Source organism: Homo sapiens, chromosome X (genome assembly GCF_000001405.40).
Source record: "Homo sapiens chromosome X, GRCh38.p14 Primary Assembly".
Classification (NCBI taxonomy): domain Eukaryota; kingdom Metazoa; phylum Chordata; class Mammalia; order Primates; family Hominidae; genus Homo; species Homo sapiens.
The window spans coordinates 22,196,127-22,219,906 of NC_000023.11; the positions used below are offsets into that span (position 1 = coordinate 22,196,127).

Sequence of the window (23,780 nt, forward strand, 5' to 3'; positions counted from 1 at the left end):
TATGATTATGCCACTGTACTCCAGCCTGGGTGACAGAGCAAGATCCTGTCTTTAACAACAACAAAAATGTATGCTTTTACTGTATGTTAAGTGACACCTCAAAATAAATAGGAACACTGCTCCTTTTCTCCATAAAAATGTTTGGAACAGCGTATAGTATGCATGGACATCTGGAGCTAATAATAGGTTGCCTCAGGCTAAGTCTCTAGATGTGTAGACCAGGGATTGGCAAACTATTTCTGTAAATTGCCAGATAGTAATATTTTTGGCTTTGCAAGTCATAGTGTCTTTGTTGCAATTTCTCAACTCTGCCATGGCAGCCATAGACAGTTCATAAACCAATGAACCTGGCTGTGTTCCAGTAAAACTTTATTTACAAAACAGGTGGCAATATTCAGGTAGTGGTAGTGGTGGGAAGAGTGAACAGCTCATATTTGGTTTTCATTTCTACTAACATGGATTGGTCTTTAGAAGAAAATTCATTTTAAGTATTCACTATCAATGAATATTTGAAAAGCGCCTCATTTAAGTATTTGGTTTTTATTTTCATACATCTCAAATCAAATTAAAGAAGTATCTTAAACAGATAAGATCTTGGCTTGAAAACAAGCATGGCCTAAGGGCTAAAACCAATGATTTTATTATCTTTGCTGTTATACACAAGGGATTTTTTTCCCCTCAGTTTAATCACAGATATTCTGCTAAAGAAGATAAGCCTTTGTCCAGAGGCTGGGCTTATGGGGGCATCGAATTATGGAATTAACCTGGAAATCAAACATAGATTTGTTTTGCTGTTAAGGAAATAACTGTGTTTCAAACTGGGAGAATTTCTCATACTTCACTGGCTCTGCCTGAAACCATAAAGTAAAAGCTAAGTTAGCAAATACTCACCTGTGGCTTCTCTTGGAATTTAATGAAATTAAATCTTTGAATCCACTTGATGTTCCATCTGGGGACATGAGAATATAAGACTAATATATAGAATTTGGGAATAGTCTTCCATTGTTTTTAGAGCTAGAAAGAAACTTAAGTGGTCACCTCATCCAAATTTCTCACTACCTAAAAGAGATCCTGACACTCAGAGCAATTCTTAGTAATTTTTTTTCCACTTATTCACTTGATTTTCAAGTGAATTTTCAAGGCCCCAATGATTTTCACTTCCCGGTATTCATTCCCCTGTCTAGTCCCCTGCCACACTGAGTAAGGCTTACCACTGTAACTAATAGGATGCTATGGAAATTCTAGATTATGACTTCTGAGGCTGGGTCATAAAAAACATTGTGGCTTTTGTTTTTTGGATAATGTTCACTCTGGGGGAAGCCAACCACCACACTGTGAGGGCATTCAGGGAGCTCACACAGAGATCCACATGTGAAGGAACTGGGGCCCCCTGCTCATTAGGAGTACCATGTGAGTGCGCCATCTTGGAAGTAGATCCCCAGTGCAGCCAAGCTTTCAGATGACCGTGGCCCAGGCTGACATCTTGGCTGCAACCTCACGAGACACTGATACAGAACCACCCAAATAAGCTGTTTCCAAACTCCTGACCCAGAGAAATGGGGAGATAGCAACTATGTCTGGGGATGATTTGTTACACAGCAAGAGGTAACTAATATAGCTATTAGAGCATGCCCAGGTACTAACTGAGTTTGGTAGGAGGGTATATAACTTTGTGTGGTTTAGTGGTTAAGGGTGTGAGCTCTGAAGTATGACAGTTTGATTTTGAATCCTGGCTTGGCCACTAATAACTTGCAACCTTGGGCAAGTTACTTAACATCTTTAAGCCTCAGTTTAATTATCTGTAAAATGGAGCTAATAGTAGTAACCATCCTATAGGGTTTTTGTGAAGATTAAATGATACTATATATTTAATATCTAATGTTATCTAGTACATTTTATAATCTAATATTAGATACATAATATTAATATGTAATATTAAATATTAATTATATCTAATATTAATATACATTTATAGTTATATATTATAAATTATACATATAATATATTATATAATATTTATATAATATATATCAATATGTAATATATAAGTATATATTAAATTATATATACTTATATATATGTTAATATTGTATATATAATATCATTTAATCTTAACCCTATAGGATGGTTACTACTATTATATATATATATAAAATGCTTGGTATAGAGTGTGGTTCATAGTAGGCACCCAATAAACATTAGCTATTAGTCCTTGCTTTTGAGGAGCTGGGAGAGAGAGACTTGTTACCAGGTCATTTAGAAGACATCATGGTGAGTGTGCAACAGAAGGGTGTGCAGTGCATTCTGGGAGCCACAGTGGAGGGGCAATTAAGCCTGGGGGAGTCAAGATTGGATTCCCTATGAAACTGATGTTTGAGTGGACTTTGGAAAGAAAAAGAAATTTCTCTGGGCACAGAAGTGAGATTAGGGCATTTAGGAAGAAGCACTGTTGTTTGGTGCAAAGGCGCAGATATGGCAGAACATAGCACAGGAACAGACTGTGAGATGGCCACAAATGCTGGGGCACAGCTTGCACTGGTGGAAGAGACAGCAAAGGGAGTGATGGGAGATGATAAGTGGAAGGAAGGCTTTGTGGGTCATGTCAAAGAACAGGCCAGAGGGAGCTAGTATAGTTTTTTTGCGGGGAGGCAAATAACTTAAGTTTTACTTCTGTATTGGTCTGTTTTCACACTGCTAGTAAAGACGTACCCAAGACTGGGTAATTTATAAAGGAAAGAGGTTTAATGGACTCACAGTTCCACATGGCTGGGAGGCCTCACAATTATGGCGGACGGCGAAGGAGCAGCAAAGGCATGTCTTACATGGTGGCAGGCAAGAGAGTGTATGCAGGGGAACTCCCATTTATAAAACCATCAGATCTCATGAGACTTATTCACTATCATGAGAACAGCATGGGAACAACCTGCCCCTATGATTTAATTACCTCCCACTGGGTCCCTCCTACAACATGTGGGAATTATGGGAGCTACAATTCAAGATGAGCTTTGGGTGGGAACACAGCCTAACCATATCAACTTCCTTAATCCTAGTATTAAAGATCATGGTCTGGAGAGGGACAGATTGCAGCCACTAAGACCAGTTAGGAGTTTTGCAAATGGCTCAAGAGAAGGACGGGGAGGGCCTAAACTTAGGCAATGACAGGGGTGAGGAGGAGTAGGAAGTTTATAAATCATATCCCAGGAGATAATTGTCAAATAACTGCATAATGATAATACAGATAGCACAGTGATCCTCCCTTATCCATGGTTTTGCTTTTCATTGTTTCAGTTACCTATGGGCAACCAAGTTCTGAAAATATTCAGTGGAAAATGCCAGAAGTAAACAGTTCCTAAGTTTTAAGTCGTGTGCCATTCTGAGTAGCATGATGAAATCTCTTGCTGTCCAGCTCTGTGCCACCTGGGACGTGAATCATCTCTTTGTCCAGTGTATCCATGTTGTATATGCTACTTGCCTGTTAGTCACTTAGTAGCTGTCTCAGTTACCAGATCAACTGTCACAGTGCTTGTGCCCAAGTAACCCTTATGTTACTTAATAATGGCCCCAAAGCATAAGAGTAGTGATGCTGGCAATTCAGGTATGCCAAAGAGAAGCTTCCTTTCAGTGCTAAGGTGAAAGTTCTCCACTTAAGGAAATTTAAAAAGAAATCATATACTGAGGTTGCTAAGATCTACAGTAAGAACGAATCTTCTATACATGAAGTTGTGGAGGAAAAAGAAATTTGTGCATTGTGTGCGTGTGTGTATTAGTTTGGTACTATCTGAGGTTTCAGGTGTCCACCAGGGGTCTTGGAACATATCTCCCAAGGACAAGAGCGGGGACTACTGTACTTTTCTAACTTTTCCACTAGGGCTTTACAGGACTTCCATCAAATGGAGATTATAACTGTTCTGTGCAGCTAGGCTTTGCTGAGGAACCATTAATATGCCAACCATTATGCCAGGTACTTTAATGTATGTTATCTCTAATCTTCACAACAGTTCTATAAACTTGGTATTATGGGCTCATTTTACAGAAGAAGAAACTGAAGCTCAGAGAGGTGATGCAACTTGCAAAAGACTGCAAAACTAGCAAATTGCAGAGCTGGGAGTATAACCCAGCTTATCTGATTGCATCCTGTTTATCGTCACACTACACTGTTCAAAACTGGATAGGAAATGTGAGAATTACAGTCACGTGATAGGCTGGGTGCAGTGGCTCACGCCTGTAATCCCAGCACTTTGGGAGGCTGAGGTGGGTGGATCACTTGAGGCCAGGAGTTTAAGACCAGCCTGGCCAACGTGGTGAAACCCTGTCTCTACTGAAACTACAAAAATTAGCTGAGCATGGTGGCTGGTGCCTGTAATCCCAGCTACTCGGGAGGCTGAGGCACGAGAATCACTTGAACCCGGGAGGCGGAGGTTGCAGTGAGCTGAGATCGTGCCACTGTACTCCAGTCTGGGTGACAGAGTGAGACTCTGTCTCAAAAATAAAAATAAAAAATAAAATAAAAAATAGCCATGAGATGATATACAGGAACACACTCTGAAAAGGTTAAGGGTATGATATAAATGTGTTAGAGTAATCATTATTATATCACCCCCTCACCCATGCTGCTCGTTCACTGGTTGGGGGATTGTTTCTCTTCTGGTATGGAAACAAGATATTATAGAATGTAAGGCAGCCAGGAGGTGAGAGTGAGAAGTTTAGATGGTCCCCAAGTCCTACTGATTTCATGTCCAAAAGGGTTGTGGCATCAAGCAGTTCATTATTGCCTCTTCTAACGATGCTGTTCTCTGCAAGCTTTTTGGCCAAGCCTGTGATCTCCTTGGGTCTTTAGCTTATGGGAAGAGTGGAGGAGGGGTTATTCTGTAAGCTAGCTTAAAAGGAGTATTTAGATATACTCCCCCAAAAGGCTTTACTTTCCAAAGTTTACACTGAGATTTTAAAAGTTTTGTTAAGTGAGCTGAAGTTAAGTCATGAACAAACTTTGAATAGTTTGTGAAATTGACAGATGATGCACTTAGCAAGTCTGTGGAACACCTGCTACAACTTTTTTGTTTTTGTTGTTGTGACAGAGTCTCACTCTGTCACCCAGGCTGGAGTGCAGTGGCCCGATCTTGGCTTACTGCAACCTTCACCTCCTGGGTTCAAGCGATTCCCCTGCCTCAGCCTCCTGAGCAGCTGGGACTACAGGCGCTCACCACCACGCCTGGCTATTTTTTTAAAATATATATTTTTATTAGAGACAGGAGTTTGCCATGTTGGCCAGGCTGGTCTCGAACTCTTGACCTCAAGTGATCCACCTGCCTCGGCCTCCCAAAGTTCTGCGATTACAGGTGTGAGCCACCATGCCCAGACCTGCTACACCGATTTTAAGGCATTCTTGTCCTGGTCTAGTTGAGGAATTTGGAGGTCCTGATACAGACCCCCAGTTTCTGAAGCCTAACCAAGGAGGCACCTGAGAATGGTGTTCTGGGTAGTATCCTGGGAGGACAAAACTAGCTTCATCTGGAATGCTCTGCAGTCTCATGGGATTCCTGTTACCATGGTAAGTCCCAGAACCAATGCCTGTAAGGATGCAATTTGCCGCTTGCAGGGTATTTCTAAATGCTGTTTTCAGACATAGTGCACTGGTCAGGTTGGCTGCAGGGCTGGTAGTAGGAAAGCATGAAATGATTATCAGAGTCAACCTGATTAAAGACAGGATGTAAGCAAGCCAGGGTGAGGTGAGCATAGGGACCTAAAAACCAGCCATGGGAACAGGAGACAGGATGTCAGGGAGAAATCTCATTAATTGACCTTGATGGTCACAGTCTCATTTGTCTTCTCTTTAAAAAATCAATTGTTTTTTACCCTTATTTACAAAAGGAGTTCATATTTATTGTAGAAAATCTAGAAAAATTTTAAGTGAACTAAAAATTTAAAAAGTTAATATCATTTAAAGATAGTCATGGTTAATACCTTTGTTGAATACCACTGAGATGTATGTTTATCTACAAATATTTTACAGTTTAAATTAACTAGACTCATCCAACAGTACTACTTTTTCCCCACTGAACATTGTAACATGAATATTTTTTCCATTTATTACATATTCTTCCAAGTCATCGAGTGTAGTGTTCAATTGAGAAAACACCTTAATTTATTTAATTACTTCCCAATGGACATTTAGGCTGTTTCCCTATTGTTAAAGAACCCTCTGTATTAATAAGTTTTGTGGCTTTCTGTCTAAATCTGAGACCATTTCTTTAGAGTAAATTCCTAGAAGTGGAGGAGTTGCTGTATCAAATGGTATGCCCCATTTGAGGGTTTTGAAATGCATCTTACCCAACTTCTCTCAAGAAAGCAGTACAAATTTGTATTTCCAGTAACAACAAATGAGATGGTTTAACCTTTAATGAGTTGCATCTTAAAGATACTGTTGGAGGAAATGAATAGAGAGACTCAGTTTTTTGTCTAACTGATATAGGGAAAATATCAGTCACATTTCATTCTTGAGACCATTATTGCATAACCAGATATGGTTCAGTGAACCCACATAAGCATTTGTTGAGTACCTACCATGCTCCCAGGCCTGGGCTGAATATCCCTGCTGCTAGTGTCAGTTTCAAATACTTAGTACAGCAATCAATAAATGAGAGGACCTGTTGGAATATGAGTAGAATATGAGACACCGAGCTTTATAGTGGAAGGAAATTAGTGTTTTCTTTGCCAGATGTTAAACTATAGCAGTGGTTCTCAAAGTGCGGTCCCTGGATCATCAGCATCGCTTGTGATAGATGGGGATTATCTGGCCCTACCTCCTGAATCAGAGACTCTGGGATTTGGGCCCAGCAATTTATGTTTTAACAAGGTCTTAACCACCAAACTTCTGCAAGATGCCAAAGATTGAGGACCGCTGAGCTATAAAAAGGCAGCAAATGCAGAAGAGGTCAGACTTGTTGGGTAAAGGTGGGGTGACTAACTTCTCCTGGTTTGCCTGGGACCATCCCAGTTTTAGCACAGAAAGTCTCGCATCCCAGGAGCCCCTTCTGTCCCAGCTAGACAGGGATGGTTGGTCACCCTGGTAAAGGGTGGCAGGGGTGAAGGGAGGTTCTCTTTGTTGCAGCCTAAAGGTAATTATGGCAGAAAAAGAATAGAAGGGCCAGCAGAGAAGGTTTCAAGATGGAGGGCAGATTTCAGAAGCTGCTTTCTGCTTGTCAGCTCTAGGCTGATAGATGTGGTGGCAGGAGGTTACCTGCAGGAAGCCAGCAGATGGCTAAGGCATCTTGCTGAATCCCTTGACAGGAGTCACAGCTGTTAGAACTTGATACTTTCTGGAAAGGGGAAGGTTGGCATTCACCAAACTACTGCAAGATGCCAACTTGAAAAAAAAGCCATGATTAATCTTAGCAGTGATGACAATGAAATCATTTTACAGCAAAAACCATAACCAAAAGTGCTTTGTAATTGCAGCAATTTCCATGTCCTGACTGATGGCCCCCTAGATTCTAGAATGGTGTCGGGCTTATCTGATTACAAGAACTAATCCTGAATAAGATGTAACATTCATTCTTAGAGTAAGCATTCATCCCGGATTTTCTAAAGCAGGTGCAATTTAAACTCTTTTTGTTCTTTACTACAGTCAATAATGTATAAGGCATGTAAAGTTTCAGTTTTGAAAGTATAGTGTGCAAAATTTTAATAAAAGTAATCATACGTTACATTGTTACATGCATGGTGTTGATGACAGAAAGACAGGAGGGCTGATTTATAGATCAGTTAAACATAAGAAATTCCTTATTTTTCCTAAACCAACAATTCTGAACCTGTTTTCATAGTCGAATCACCTGGGGAGCTTTTAAAAAATGCTTATGTTCAGGGTTCCATCCCAGAGATGGTGACTTAATAGGTTTGAGGCAGGGGCTTGGACATAGATATTAAACAAGCAAAATTCCCCAGGTGATGTGCATTTGGGGTTGAGAATACTGTACTTACCCTGATATAAACCAATGGGTCCCAACTTTAGCATGTACCAGAATAGCCTGAAGTGCTATTCAGTAGGTCTAGGGAGGTGGGGGTGCAAACATTTGCACCTCTAAGGAGTGCCCTGGTGATGCTGATGCTGCTGGTTTGCAGACCAAGATTTGATCACCAGTTTCCTAAACCATTCCTACTCCAAACCCCAGATAATCGTACAAACCACATCTGTCACCCATTAGCTAGACATGTGAATAAATAACTCCCTCTCAAAACACTTCTGCACATCTACTCCCACGTATCCAGTATTTCTTTTCTCTACTGAGTTTAAAACATATTTCAATTAAAAAGCATACTTTAGAAAGCTTGGTATAGGTTTACCTTCCTCTTTAGGTCTTGCAAAATAGGATTATTTGTCGAGTGGTATCCTTTCTCCCTCACTAGATTGTAGGTTCTCTGAGGACATTTGTTTGTTCGAAGGTTGCCCATGTGGCTTAGGACATCATAGGTGCTCAGTAAATGTTAGTAGTCAGTGGTTATGCATAGAAATTGCATCATCATAACCAAACCCACCTATTCCCAGTAGTTTTTATAATGGGATCTAAATAGACTGACACTCCAAAATTAGGATCATAAAACGTATTCACTTAGAGAAGTCGAAGCTATTGCACAGGACAAGTAAAATAATCAAAGAAGTTAGCAGAAGGTAACTACAAGGGAATTTCACCAAGAAGGACAATAATGTAGATAAGATGATATATCAGCAATAGCCCTGAAATGTGGACTGATACATAGAGTAGTTTAGTAATATAAGCACACACTTAAGGCTTTTGAAAAAAAAATAACTGTCACAACTTGTACTGGAGCCACATTAATACATCAAAAAATCCATGCAAATGACCAAATATCCCATTGTTTGACAAAACTAATAATGCAACAGAATGTATTGACATAGTCCACCCCTTAACAAAACTATCACAAACATCCACACTGAAAGAAAACAGACACAGGTACACACTTAATGAAAAAACCCAAGTATATTTCTGGAGAAAGCAGCTACAGCAAATATGGAAACAGATTTAGTTCAATAAACAGCTGAATGTGTATGCTGGTCCACACATCCTCAAGCCCATTGAATTTTCCTTTGGAATTTTCCCTTGGTCACCTTTTTTTGGATTGAATTTACTTTGTCATTTGCCCCTGGCTCTGTCACTTCTGTCCAGAGGCTGCTGCAGGGATCCTAAATGAACAAATTCAATGATGCTTATTCCTTCAGAGGAGTCAAAAGAGATGTTGAATTTAAGAATGAAATGCTCCTGAAGGTAGATGAGTTCAAGTTGTCTTGCATTGTGTTACTACACTTACAAAAGTTTGCTATAGAGAAAGGAGAAAAGCACATGGTCTGGGTTTCTGAAGACTGGCAGTGAAAGTTGGAGGCTTCCTATTTTGTAAAATCTGACCAAACATGGAAATAACAGGAAAAGATGTCTGAGTCTGGTTCATAGTTGTCTAAAATCATCAGCATTTATAAGTTATTAACACATCAATATTAAAAATTAATATTAAATTATTAATTTATTAATACTTTATTAATATTAAATTATTATTATTAATATTTAAAAAACTTCCAAATAACATACAATTTTGGAAGGTAATGTTTTAAAAATATTTTCTGTATGATAACTTTTCTGAACCATACACTTATGAATATGGAACTTAAAATTAATGCTGCAGTAAAGTGAACGCAACAATGAATGTAGGGAAAATGGATTAAATTAGTTCAATATTCTGCAGGCCGAAGGCCTTTGATCAATATTTTGTCTAATTTTCTCTTTCCAGCATATATCACAAACATAAAAAGGAAGAATATTCCACTTTTATTGGGGGTCAGCAGGGAGGGCTAAGAGGATACAGGAGTGATGGTATTTGCATAAAACTGGCTGGACTATTTAGCTTGTTAATATCTGTATTGTGATTGAAAGTTTATTGGAAAAATGTGCTGATCTCAAAACTACACTAGTTCGGCAATGATAGCAAGAGAATGGAACCAACAAATTCTTTCATCTAGAAGGAAAATGAAAACCAGAACTTGAATAATGGGATGTATCTTAGATCTGGTACTGAATGTGGAAAATTCAAGAAGTAATACATTGGTACTACTAATAGTATCATGTAAGGTTTTAAACTTTGTCTAACAAGATGTACTCATAATGATAGGTAATGCTTCAACCCCAGTCATCCCTCTGAGTTTCACAAGATACAGAATCAGTTAATTCAACAAGTATTTATTGAGTGCTTACCATGAACCAGGTATTGTTCTAGCTCTGAAGACATCACCATTAAAGAATAGTAAAAAATAAAAATCCCTTTTGTCATGGAACTTGCATTCTAGTTGGGGAAAGACAGAAAACGCATACAAAATAAGTCAAATGTAAACTGTCTTAGATGGTGGTAAGTGTTACGATGAGTTACAAAGCAAGAAAGTGGGTAGAATAACATCCTGCCCCTTAAAAAAGCACTAGGGAAGGGGTTAATGAAAAGATGATCTTAGCCTACATACCTGAAGCGAGCCATACAGATAGTGGCGGAAAGTAGGTTCTAGGTTAGGAGAAGAGAGGCGTAGGGCAAAAGGAAAATTATTCCCTTTTTGCATGTCCTTCTATACAGTGTGAATTTGCTAGGCCTGAATATATTTATTTATTTGTTTTCTTGAGGTCTGAGCTGTGGAATAATGTGCTAAATTTGTTTTCTTCTCTATACTTGTTTGTACTAAAAAAAACTCTAATTAATGCAGCTTACAATAATGTGTACTGAAACCCAGACACATTGAGGCATTTAACTTTTCTGGGAAAGCTGTAGCTACCGTCAGGGTATGATTTATGACTATAAAAGTCAAATAGTTGAGCCTGGGGTAATCACCCACTGAATGTGATTGGTTCTTTGGCAATTGTGTCCTAAACAAAAGCACTCTGTCTTTTATGGTCAGCATTTTGCTAAGCTCCAACTAGGTTACTCCATATTTACTGATAGGAGAATTGTAATGAGAAACACCAGTAAAAAGGAGAGGTTGACCCCAGTAGAAAACCAAAAGCAGGTTCTTGTGGCTTTCCCAGGTGCAGATTTGAAAAAGACAGTATTACTGATAAATAATTAGGTTATTACAAAGACCAATATTTTCTTTTGTCAGAATTTTAATCATTGAAGTGGTATAACCACAATTTGTATTTTTGCCTGAAATAGGAGTGGAATTTGCTGGTGTTAACAAATGCAAGAACAAAATAATACTATATAAGCTTAGTTAACTGTTTTTCAATAGCCTTTAGAAGAATTTTCTGTAATACACACACACTTCTTTTTTTTTGAGATGCTAAAAGAAATTTTAATAATTGTTACATAACATACTGTGTAGCTATTTGATGAAATCTACCTCTGTGTAATAATTATTAAAGTAAGTCTTGAAATGTATGATAAGAATATATTAGTTTTTTGGGTACAATTTCCATGAAAAAAATAAGAAAACAAATAAATAACTAAAATAAGAAATAGGAGGTTTTTTATACATACTGTTGTCATCATACAAAATTACTCTATTAACTAAATTTACCTGACATTGTCACCGTTAAAAGCAAAATCAAGACAAAACTAATTCTCAAATTTATTTAATTTTAGTAATATATTTTATTTAACCCTATATACCCAAAATATTTTCATTCTAATATGTAATCAATATACAAAAATTATTAAAGAGATGTTTTATGTTCTTTTTTCATACTAAGGCTTGAAAATCCAGGGGGTATTTTATTTATTTTTATTTAGTGTACTTTAAGTTCTAGGGTACATGTGCACAATGTGCAGGTTTGTTACATAGGTATACATGTGCCGTGTTGGTTTGCTGCACCCATCAACTCGTCATTTACATTTGGTATTTCTCCTAATGCTATCCCTCCCCTAGCCCCCCACCCCCCGACAGGCCCCTGTGTACACACACACTTATTTCTAAAAGAATTAATTTTAATTACACAAGTTTATTATCTTTGGATAATCAAAAGGTAAAACATTACGTTTATGTGTAGAGCCCTTTTTACGAGCCACCACCCCAAATCCTGATTTTCTTCAAAAGGTAACCACTGTGATCACTTTGATAGGTATTTTACAGACTTTTAAGGAATTTACATATGTATACACATATACACACAATACATGTATATGCTCACACTGGTAGGATAGTTATGTAAGAAGATAAATGGTATTTATATGTCTATATCTGTACCTTGCTTTATGCCAACAACATGTCTTGGGGATTATTTCCCATGCTGGAATTTTAAGACCTACCTCTTTCTTTTCACTTACTGCATAGCAGTCCACAATATGGTTATACCATAATTAATTGGCCTCTTATTTGGACATTTAGCTTGTTGCACACTTCTCAACTACAAGCCATGCAGCAATGAATTCTGTAGTGCACTTGTGCAAGTGATCAGGCAGTGGTTCTCACGGTGGCACCCAGACCAGCCGCATCTGCATCGCCTGAGAACTTGCTAGATGCAAATTCTTAGCCCTACCCTAGACTTATTGACTCATAAACTGAGGATGGGGCCCAGCAATCTGTAGTTTAACAAGCCCTCTGGTGAATCTGATGCATTATACAATTTGAAAACCACTGGCAGGTATGTCTGTTTCTACAGACACACATGTACGGATACAGTCAGTTCTATAATGTAACATATGTGTTCTTAAACACCACTGTGCTATGCAAAAGTATGTAATAAAAGGCCTCGGGGCTTTTGAGAAAAATGAGGTTGGGGCACAACAGTTAAAAACTTCATCAGTGACACGTTAAAAACAAAAGCTGGGAGACCAATAAAAATGATAGTGCGGTTTTATACATGTTAAATGGGTAAATACACAAACGCTACAGTAAATATGGCACCTTCCCTTGAAAAGACCAGAAGTTTGCTTGTGTAAGTTGGTATTGGAGGGGTTGACCCTTGTGAGTTTTTGGGTAGTGGCGGAAGGAGGGTTACATGAAATTGGAAGGTAAGTTTTAACAGCAGATGTGGTGAGTGTGGCTCCTGCCGCACGTGGTGAACTGAGGCAGTTGGTCATGTTGAGGTGTGTGTGTGTGTGCATTTTGGGTATTCCTATATGGCTCAGTCCATTTGGGTGCATTTTTCTGCTTTTCCCTAGCATTTCTTGTGGATAAGCAAATGCGAAATTGGAGTTATGTCCAAATTTTCCCCCAGTGTATCAATTTCCTTGGAATAAATTTGCCTTTTCGATACAGGTGTCACAGCTGTATGTATGGATGCTTATTCTTTTGCGTACATTACACAAAATAACTCCATACACTGTACTGAATGCTGTTTTTCACTTAATATTTCTTAGAGCTTTTTCCATATCGCCACATAGTTACTCGTTTTTTTTTTTAATGGCATTTAAAGCATTAAGAGATGACTAAATTGATCTCCAAAATGCTTGCAACAACCTACACTCCCATCAACATGCTTCCTACACCTTGGCCAATATTACCTATTATCACATTTATTAACTTTTGCCAACCACTAGTTAAACGTCTCTCTCCTTCCTCTCCCTCCCTCTCCTCCCTCTCCTCCCTCTCCCTCTCTTCCCTCTGCTCCCTCTGCTCCCTCTGCTCCCTCTGCTCCCTCTCCTCCCTCTCCTCCCTCTCCTCCCTCTCCTCCCTCTCTCTCTCCCTCTCCCTCTCCCTCTCCTCCCTCTGTCTCCTCCCCCACCTCCACAGAGACATTTACACTGTGAGGAATGCCTCCCGTAAGTACACTGATAGAAAAAGGAACTTTAAAAGTGTGAAACAGGTGGCGAGGTGGTGTTGAAATGGTAAAAAAAAAAAAAAATAAATAAATAAAAATAAAAAGGAAATAAAATGGATATGAAAGAATACATAAAAACCTATTAAAAAGGCAGAAAAAAGGAATTCCCTTTCTGCTTATTTTTCACTTCTACCTTTGCTAAATACAACTTATCCACTTTATGAGATAAGATATTGAGTTGACCCTGTAGGATTCCATCTATCACTCTAGCTGGTTGACATCTCCAAAAATGCAGCTTACACTATTAATCCATTCACTTCAGCAAAACATGCCTAAGGGCATCAGATTCTTCTGTTTATCAGTATTGGGTTCCTTGGCCCCAACAAGCTCAGCAGATACAGCTGAACAGAGTGATGTGTGGTGGCTTCAACTCTTGAGTCTGGGGCTTCTAACGGCAAAAGTGACAGACATAGAGGCTCATGCAGGTGTCAGATGTTTTCCTGTAAAGAGGTTGGCAATGGACGTAAATGCTTCCAGCTGGGCACATTACCAGGCAGGATAAGCCATAATGATTTAATAATGAAATCACATTGGTTTATGATCATTGTTCTTATTAGGAAATATCATTGCTTTTTGATGATTTATTATGTGAAACTGAGTTTTCATATAAACACTGTGATTTGCATTTATTTGTAATATATATTTGCATATGTATATATATCTGAGTGAGAATGACTTACTAAAAGTAATCACCAAAAAAAGAGGATGGAATATTGATGTAAATATGCCACAAATATTTAAGGAAATGTAGAAATTATGAAGATTATTATGATGTTGCCACTTCAAAATAATATTAGATGCATTTTCCTTTATGTGAAACTGACAGAGAACTAGTAGCTGGATCCATCTCTGTTTTGCAATTAGGCTTTTGCACCTAATCACAAACTACGATATTATTAATAAAATATAAAGAATATATATAAGGGTTATATAGAACCACCATTTCCCTTCTAAATTAAGGACTTGCTTTCCTGTCCTCATTTCTCCTCATGTGTTCTGACATGGAGGAGAGAGAGAAAAAAAAAAGTTAAGAAGAGGGAGGAAGAACATTTTGACTTATGAAAGAGCTTTCAGTCTCATGGGGCCTGGAACAGTTGCTCTGGAGCAGTGAAGGACACTACAGAAGGCTTCTCTCTCTCTTTTTGGTTATGATTCTTTGCTCTATCAGCTGTGATGACTTGTAAGTACAGTTCCTAGGATCAACCCAGGGTGCAAAATTTAGTGGTGAGTTGCAAGGGCAAAGCAAAGCATGTCTCCCACTCATCTGCACTCAATGTCAGGTACATAATTTGGGAAGCCCAGTGCAAAATAAAAATGTGGGGTCTCTTGTTCCAAAAGCAGGAAAAAATGCCATTGAGGGGGCTAAAATATAAAGCCTTGCCCTATCTTTCATGGGCTTTCTCTTTCAACTTGTCATGGTATTGTTTTATTTGCTATTCAGTGCTACTATAAGAAAAATTAAAGACGTAAGTCATTAGCCTGAGTGTTACTTTTCATCTCAATATTGTGCAATGTCAGTTTTAAATGCAAACATAAGAGCATTTAACTTGGATGTGGAATCACCAAAATTACATAGTTTGTATTTTGTAGCTTGTATGTGCGTATGTATTTTGTTCTTACCAGCATGGAGGAAATGCTGAACAAAACTCAACTGTTTTTATTTTACTTCTTAATACATGTACATTCTACCAATACTCTCTACCTTTGGTTTACTGATGAATAAAGAAGGACTAAAAGGAAAAGAATCTATAGGTTATTGTATAAGTCTGTTCTCACACTGCTAATAAAGACATACCTGAGACTGGGTAATTTATAAAGGTAAGAGGTTTAATGGACTTACAGTTCCACATGGCTGAGGAGGCCTCACAATTATCGTGGAAGATAAAAGAGGAGCAAAGTCATGTTTTACATGGCGGCAGGCAAGAGAGCTTGTACAGGGGAACTCCCCTTTATAAAACCATTGGATCTCATGAGACTTATTCACTACCATGAGAACAGTATGGGGGAAACCGCGCCCATGATTCAATTATCTCCACCTGGCCCCACCCTTGACACATGGGGACTATTACAATTCAAGGTGAGATTTGAGTGGGGACACAGCCAAACCATATAATTCACCCTTTCTCTGTCCTTTTCTGTCATCGTTTTCAGTGTAGGTGTTTGGCCAATACAGGGAAGTAACAGGTATAAGAAAGGTTATGACAGGATTCCTTGGTCATTCATGTTTCTTAGAATGCCACTACCTTCTTTTGGTGGTTGAAGCAAATTCTGGTTTGAATGGAAAGTATGGCCTCTTAGGGCTATCAGAGCTTACTCAGTTCTAGATGTATCGTATTTACCTTGTATTTGTTTGGCATCTCGCTGAACTCCCATGCACTATGGGCCTGATGGAGTCCTGTGCTCCTGGGGCATTGTGAATGCTGTGTGTAAATGGGGCTCCTAGGAACAACAGACACATATTGTGCACATTTTCTCTGCTCACACACACATGTTCCATTGTCCCCTCATGCTCCACTCAAAAAATACAAGTTCAAAGATAAAAATCATTAAGAATTTCAAGATAGTGGCAGGAGAAGATTAAACTAAGTGCAGGACCCTTCTCTCTGTGGGGCCTGTGTGACTACACAGGTTGCACACCCACGAAGCCGGCCCTTTCTATATCAGGCAAAGCTGCTGGACAGCCTGAAGCCTCATGAGCATGCCATGTATGAAGGAGCCCAGCTTACAGCAGGCTGGATATTGCCAATAGTGTACCAGTGCAAAATGGTTTCCCTGAAACCTTTAATACACTTACTTATTTCAAACTCAGTTGAATTGATATCATTGAGACAGCTAGATCTCTTAGAGGGCTCCCAGTGCCAGGAGGAGTGCCTTTCAGATGGGTCTTTGAAACCTCAGTGTTATAGCTAGAACCAGGTACTCATCATTGAATCAATCTCTCTATATCTCTTAACATTTTTTCCTTCTCATAGGATTTCCAGCAGGAGAGCTCCAGAAGCCTTTCTTTTGGGGAACAGAATATCCTCGGTGAGTAAATGAGTACAGAAACCAGTTACTGACCAATTAGGAAGAACATGTTGCTTTGGTAGAGGACAGAAGAAACAAAGTCAAAGGTTATTCAGCAGAAAGAAGCCATGGAATCTGGCGTGGGTCGCCTGTACTCTTATCATTTTAGGTATTTGTTTTCTGATCCTTGTTACCAGGGTGTATGGCTGGACAGGAAAGCCATCTTACACATAGGTGGCTTTCATTTTTATGCATTTATTCTCTTACCCATTAACTCATACTACCAGTATTTGGACATTGAAGGATTGTTGGGATTTGAATTGATGGGATGAGTCTAAAACCATTCCAGGTAGAAGAAACAGTGTGAGATAAGGAGGGAAAAGTGCTTCTATAATGGCAGAGTGTAGTTTGGCTAGCCCAAATGGTATATGAAAGGAAGTAGTGGAAAAGAAGATTGAGGTTTGATATTGGAGGGCTCTGCATGGCAAATAAGGAGCTTGGATACTAATAGGCAATAGAAAATATTGAACTTTTTGAGCAAGTTAGTAAGATAATCGAATTTATCTTTAGAAATATAACCTGTGTAGCTACAGAATAAGTCAAAATTGGTAGTGTATGGACTTAGGGATACCAGTTTAAAGGTCATTTTAATACCAACAGATTGTAGACTCATGTAATTCAGAATTTCCATACATAGTAGAGATTCTGATAATATTTGATGTCAATAATATCACCATTTCTATTATATACTTTTTACTTTTGTGTTTTAATGCTTGGAAAATTTTAGTCTTGATTCTATACATTGAGTCTCTTGTGTTTTGGTTTGGATATATGACAATTTAAAAATATGTAGGTTTAAAAGATACAGATTCCCATAAATATATCAATAAGAGAAATATGTTGGCAATGTTTTCATTTGGCCTTTGGGCTTTCCCGGTAGCAGACCTTGTGGTAAGTATTCAAGTGCAATTAGTTCTTTCGGGAGGTGGTACAAGGAAACACCAGTAGGGGAGTGGAGAATTGAGACAGTGAGGGAAATAAGCCAAATGAATTATGTCCTGTGAGTCTTTTATGGCTGCCAAAATGAATTACTACAAACTTAGTGGCTTAAAATGACATAAACTTATAAGCTTATAGTTCTGTAGGTCAGAAGTCCAAACTGGTTCTCACTGGGCTAAAATCAAGTTGTCAGCAGGGCTACTTTCCTTTCTGGAAGCTCTAGAGATGAATCTGTTTTCTTGCCTTTTCTAGTTTCTAGAGGGGGCCCACATTCCTTGGCTTATGACCTCTTCCTCCATCTTTAAAGTTCCATAGTCACATCTCCTTCTGACTCTCATCTTCTGTCTCTCCCTTCTACTTATAAGGACCCTTGTGATTACACTGGTACCATTCAGATAATTCAGGATAATCTTCCTGTTTTAAGTTCAACTGATTAGCAACCTTAATTCCGTCTGCAGCCCCTTTACTGTGTAACATAACATATTCACAGGTTCCAAAGATTAGCAATATGGACATCTTTTGTAGGCCATTATTCCACCTACCACATGTGTGTTACAAAGCCAGTTATCACCATGGGCAACTGGAGCTCAGTCTTGCTGGGGAACTGTAAAACATGCTTCAGAGTGATCCCATCTCAGGGACATGGGAGCTGGGGTATTTATCTGTCCTCCAACTCACCTTCCATCATTGATTGAGGGCTCCTACCAGGGGTACCTGGCAGTGCCCATCCTAGGCCAAGAGGGCTCTAGTGGCTGGAGAAAGTCTTCAGGCAACTAGTTTCAGGTGCTGACATTTGAAGGCTGTCAGATTGGTGTGCTCAAAAATAGTGAGGGCTACGAGGACGTGGGCAGCCATCGATAAAGCTTACTACAGGGAAGCACCATCGTTAGAGTAAATAAAAATTGCAGGTTCTTATTTAACCAAATCCATTAATAATATCCCAGGCCTCAGCTCCATAGTTTTCTTTGGTGTTCAGATGTTTGGACTCAATTTGCCCTGCTTTTAAGTTTAGAAATATATATATATCTAAAAAATTAAAGGTTTAGGATAAATATTCTTTAAGCTCCCTTCAAACTAAAAAAGTCCTATAATTCTTTGATTCTGCTTACTGTTAACAATTTAACTGAGCTTCTATTATTGTGGTTATATAGCTGGAGACTAGGAAATAGTCTGGTTGGATTTCTGAAGTTATTGATGAAGTAATTTGTTTATTGGGTCTGTGAGCATGTTAGTGTCTATTTGTTTGTACCTTAGGCTAGGTCATAGTTAATACTTGAGTGTGAAAGAGAGTTTTTTTTTCCTAAAGACTTGTTTGTCCTCATCCACTTAATGAATAGCTACTACATATCATTTGGGTACTCAGCATTGGGAATATGAAGATGCTAAAGACATGGGAGTCATGGTCCAGTGAGATGGCTTCCCATATGTTCATCTAGTCTGTATTAATAAATGGATAGCCTCCAGAATCAAGGGAGTGGGTATCCTTTCTGCTCACAGTGGTCAGCTTAGTCCTCACCTGAGTGTTGAGTCTAATTATGGGGCATGAACAAGCTGAATTGTTTCCAGAAGAGAGAATCAGGACTGTAAATGGTTGAAGACAACGTTTCCCAAAGTGTGTGTTCCATGAAATAGTAATAGAGGTAAGACATCCTCCCCTCCCTTCAGTTTTGGGGAATCATAATAATTATCACCATAAAAATTTCCTAGAAGCTCTCCAAGAAAGAAACCTATTTAGATGTGTTTAACACAACTACCTTTTTTGTACCCATTAACCATCCCCACTTCTGACCCCAGCCCCCCACCACCCTTCCCAGGCTCTGGTAACCATCCTTCGAAATGCAGAGGTTCCCAAACTCCCCGGTGTTTTGGGAAATGCTGATCTAGAATTCATGACTGAAGAATAAGAGTTGAAAGAACTTAATAACACTTGAAGTGGAACCTCATAACTGTCTGCATATTTTTGAAGGAAAGTTAAGGTGGTAGAACGACTTATTATATTCAGGAGATTCAGCAAGTGTTCAGTTAGAGGCTACACTAGACCAATAGATGGGAGCCATAGAAAAGACATTTCAGATCAGCATTATGGAGAGCTATTACGTTTAGACCCGCCCAAAGAGGAAATGGGTTACCTTAGAAGGGGATGAGCTCTTGGTCATTGGAAATACCCAAGCAGGGTATTATAACCATTTGAATGGGTTTTTCTAGAGGGGGCCCATTCCTCTAGTAGGAAGTTGGAGTAGATGACCTCTAAGCCATTTCCAACTCAGAAATTTTTATGAATTTATGATTCAGGCATAGGACAGCCCTTACTTGATAACAGTGTGAGATCATGATTAAGCTAGACAGCAGTATAGTTGTTTTGTTGTTGACAGCAAATCCGGTGCATATGTTAAACCCACTGAGTAATTAGAACAAAAGAGAAACTGAGTAGGTAGTAAAAGTGGTGTCTTCTCCATTTTATTTTTGGAAGACTAGATCTTCAGTGCAAGAAATCTTCCAGTTTCTGGCCAGCCAGTCAAGGTTGCATTTTAAAAGGGCGAGTTTATTTTTTTATGCTTATTTATTTATTTATTTATTTATTTATTTATTTATTTATTTATGAGACAGAGTTTTGCTCTTGTTGCCCAGGCTGGAGTGCAAAGGCATGATCTCAGCTCACTGCAACCTCCGCCTCCCGGGTTCAAGTGATTTTCCTCCCTCAGTCTCCCAAGTAGCTGGGATTACAGGCATGCGCCACCATGCCTGGCTAATTTTGTATTTTTTAATAGACATGGGGTTTCTCCATGTTGGTCAGGCTGGTCTCGAACTCCCGACCCCAGGTAATCCACCCGCCTCGGCCTCCCAAAGTGCTGGGATTACAGGCGTGAGCCACCACGCCTGGCCAATGACATGCTAATTTAAATACTCTTCATTGATAAAATAGAGGACATGAATCTAATATTATGAAATATTATTATTGTCAGGCTTAGTCATATAAAATTACTTTTTCTTTGTCTCTTGTCCAAAGGATTGTGATTAAGTAACTGAGAATTGAAACTTAAAATGATTCAATCATTTTCTGAATTCTCTATTGCCTTTTGCAAATAGGAAGCTTGTTGGAGCAGCCCTGCTTAAAGGACATTTATTGCACAGCAATTTCTATAAGCTCCCATTGTTCATGCCTTCAATTCATCCAGTCAACAGCATTGACTGAGGGATGTAGAGGACCAAGTACTTATTCTCAGAGCTGAGAGACCTGGAAAAACTAAATGTTGCAATCTGCACACTGATAGCTACTGCCGCAAAAATTAACACTATGTAAAATTACAAATTTGTCCCACACTGCTATGATAGCTCTATGATTGAAATGAATAATTTCACTCTTACTTCTTTAATGAAGGTTTGCAATGATGGAAAAACAGTAGGAAGCATTTTTTCAAATGCAAATTACCTTACAGGAAAGAAATAACAAAGGAAAGCATTGCCACCAAGGGGAAAAATTAAATCTTACACCACTTCCTTGGGTGTAGTTGAGACAAACAGTTAGCATGGTAAGGATCATTTATGTCCTGTAATAACATATTACTTTAAAAATTTCCATTCCTTCCAGTTATGGGTCCTATCTATTTGCTGGGTGACTTTGATGTTGCATGTCAGGAACTAACTGTGAGATATTTTTAGCATAATTGCAAATCTCATGAAGAATCTTCACAATAAGGATTCTAAGTGGTGTGTAATTCTCATCCACAGGTTGAATGACTAAATTAAGATACATACAGATCTGTCACTTGCATGAGATGGTAAAGTTAACTAATCAGTTAAATCATTGTTACTTTCTTACGCTGTACAAGGCATAGAGGATGTAGCAATGAACAAGTAGATAAGAGAGTGGCCTCAATAGAACTTACATTTGAGAGAGAAAATCCCAGACATACATATGGAAACCCCATTATTGATTTCTTCATATATTCTTAATATGCTTTGCTATGTAACAAAGCACCACCAAGCAACCATTTATTAGCTCATGATTCTGTAATTTGGGCAGGACTGAGCTGAGACAGCTGCTCTGTATGGTGCTGGCCGGGGTCGCTCAACTAGGGCTGGACTCACAGACAGGTGAGTGAAGGCGACCTCACTCACCTGTCTGTGCCCCAGTTGGGCTGGCTCTCGTGGCTGGGGCATGGCAGGGCCTCTCTCTCTTCCTTTGGAGTCTCTCAACTTCTGGGGTTTCTCGCTTCTTCATTTGGCCTCATTCCCTCTAGCTGTGTAGTTGAACTTCTTTGCAAGTGACTTCCAAGAAGGTGGAAAATGGAAGCTACTAAGTTTCTTAAGGCCTAGACCCAGAAGTCATACCTGACCCCTTCCACTGCATTCTGTTGGTCATAGCAAGTCCCAAGGCCAGTCCAAATTTAAGAAGAGGGAAATAGATTGTCTCTTGATGGGAGGAGGGGCTATGTGCATTCAGGGGTAGGGAGAATTGTTGGTGTCCCCTTTTATAGATAATCTACCACATGCTTCTTCAGAGGTGAAGAGAAATAATGTGGCACCTTTTTCAAATCTTTGCTATTCAGTTGCTATCTTGTCTACAACAGAAAGAGGAACGTGACTACCTTTGAAAATAGAGTGATCCCTTTTAATCTCTACTCTATTCCTTTTTTTATGACTACATTTGGAAAACAATTTAACTTCTAAGACTATAGTGACTTTTCAACAAGTTTCCAGATAAAATATACATGATATATTTACTGACAGGATCTTTTCAAGCCCTGTTCTAGGTGTTCATAAATATATAGCTATAGCAGATAAAAAAATCATAGCAATCTTAAGGCTGAAAGGGACTTTAGAAATCATCTCTTTCACATCCCTAATTTCAGAGAGTAGGGCACTAAGGTTCATATGTGGTAATAATGACAATGTTTGTTAGAATTTATATTTTCTTTGTCTATTTCAATTGGAAGGTATGTTTAGATTTTTTACAGCTTTATGGGTATGGTTATTCGATTGTTATTACCATGGTTACTAGAAAGCAGTTTATCTTGGCTTTCCATTGAAAAAATTAAAGGATTATGCTCTGAGATTCATGCTTGTAATTGTCTCCAAATTATGTATTAATGCCATAGATCTCTGAGTTATGGTGCTATAGGAGTAATTGTCGGACATGAATTTACACATGGATTTGATAATAATGGTAAGTACCGGTTCATTTTATAAGCTGCTGCTTTTATAATAATGTTGACTATATGGATGTTAATTGTTATGATTATCTTTGCATAGCAGCAGCATCATAGCTTGAAGATTATCCAAAGCAATATGATTGCTGATTGAAAACTTTTCACCGTGTCTTGCTGTGATGGCTTGCAATAAGTAAACAATTGTTCCCATTGGTGATCGGGGTAGACTTTAAAAGGCAGCCTTGTAATTTCAATAAAATTAGCTTTGCATTTAGATCAGGATTGCTGTAGCTGCCACAATAGTTACAGAGATTGATTTATAGCTTCTCCCTTTGTCATTTATTCATTGTCTTGAGATATTCTCCCTGGAGGAGCAAGCTCTGCTCCAACGATGATTATACATGCTGCCAAGTTAGGACTCGTTGAGTTAGGACTCTGGAGCTTGGCTGACTGGTTCCCTTTTACGATTTCGAAGATTATGCAATGCTTAATCTATATTTTTCTCTATACTGGCTTATATTCTGATTATTATTATTATTATTATCATTATTGAGACGGAGTCTAGCTCTGTCGCCAGGCTGGAGTGCAGTGGCACGATCTCGGCTCACTGCAACCTCGGCCTCCCGTGTTCAAGTGATTCTCCTGCCTCAGCCTCCCGAGTAGCTGGGATTACGGGCACGTGCCACTATGCCCAGCTAATTTTTGTATTTTTAATAGAGACGGGGTTTCACCACATTAGCCAGGATGGTCTCGATCTCCTGACCTCGTGATCTGCCCACCTCAGCTTCCCAAAGTGCTGGGATTACAGGCATGAGCTACC

The 23,780-nt window shown here is 38.9% G+C and overlaps 1 protein-coding gene and 1 long non-coding RNA gene across 7 annotated transcripts in view; one reads left to right on the forward strand and one right to left on the reverse strand.

Moving 5' to 3' along the window:
- The window catches only part of PHEX (phosphate regulating endopeptidase X-linked), a 218,986-nt gene that overhangs the window by 163,802 nt on the left and 31,404 nt on the right, over nt 1-23,780 (forward strand). For all 6 annotated transcript variants that reach the window (NM_000444.6, NM_001282754.2, XM_024452390.2 and 3 more), the window contains 2 exons: nt 16,778-16,832; nt 22,910-22,977. In NM_000444.6, the coding sequence (NP_000435.3) occupies nt 16,778-16,832; nt 22,910-22,977 (123 nt within the window). The remainder of the gene's footprint in view (nt 1-16,777; nt 16,833-22,909; nt 22,978-23,780) is intronic.
- PTCHD1-AS (PTCHD1 and PHEX antisense RNA) overlaps nt 1-23,780 on the reverse strand; it is a 1,100,142-nt gene that overhangs the window by 3,122 nt on the left and 1,073,240 nt on the right. Inside the window, exons 10-11 of the long non-coding RNA NR_073010.2 lie at nt 6,562-6,644; nt 892-949 (exon numbers count right to left, since the gene is read on the reverse strand). This is a non-coding gene — a long non-coding RNA (PTCHD1 and PHEX antisense RNA). The remainder of the gene's footprint in view (nt 1-891; nt 950-6,561; nt 6,645-23,780) is intronic.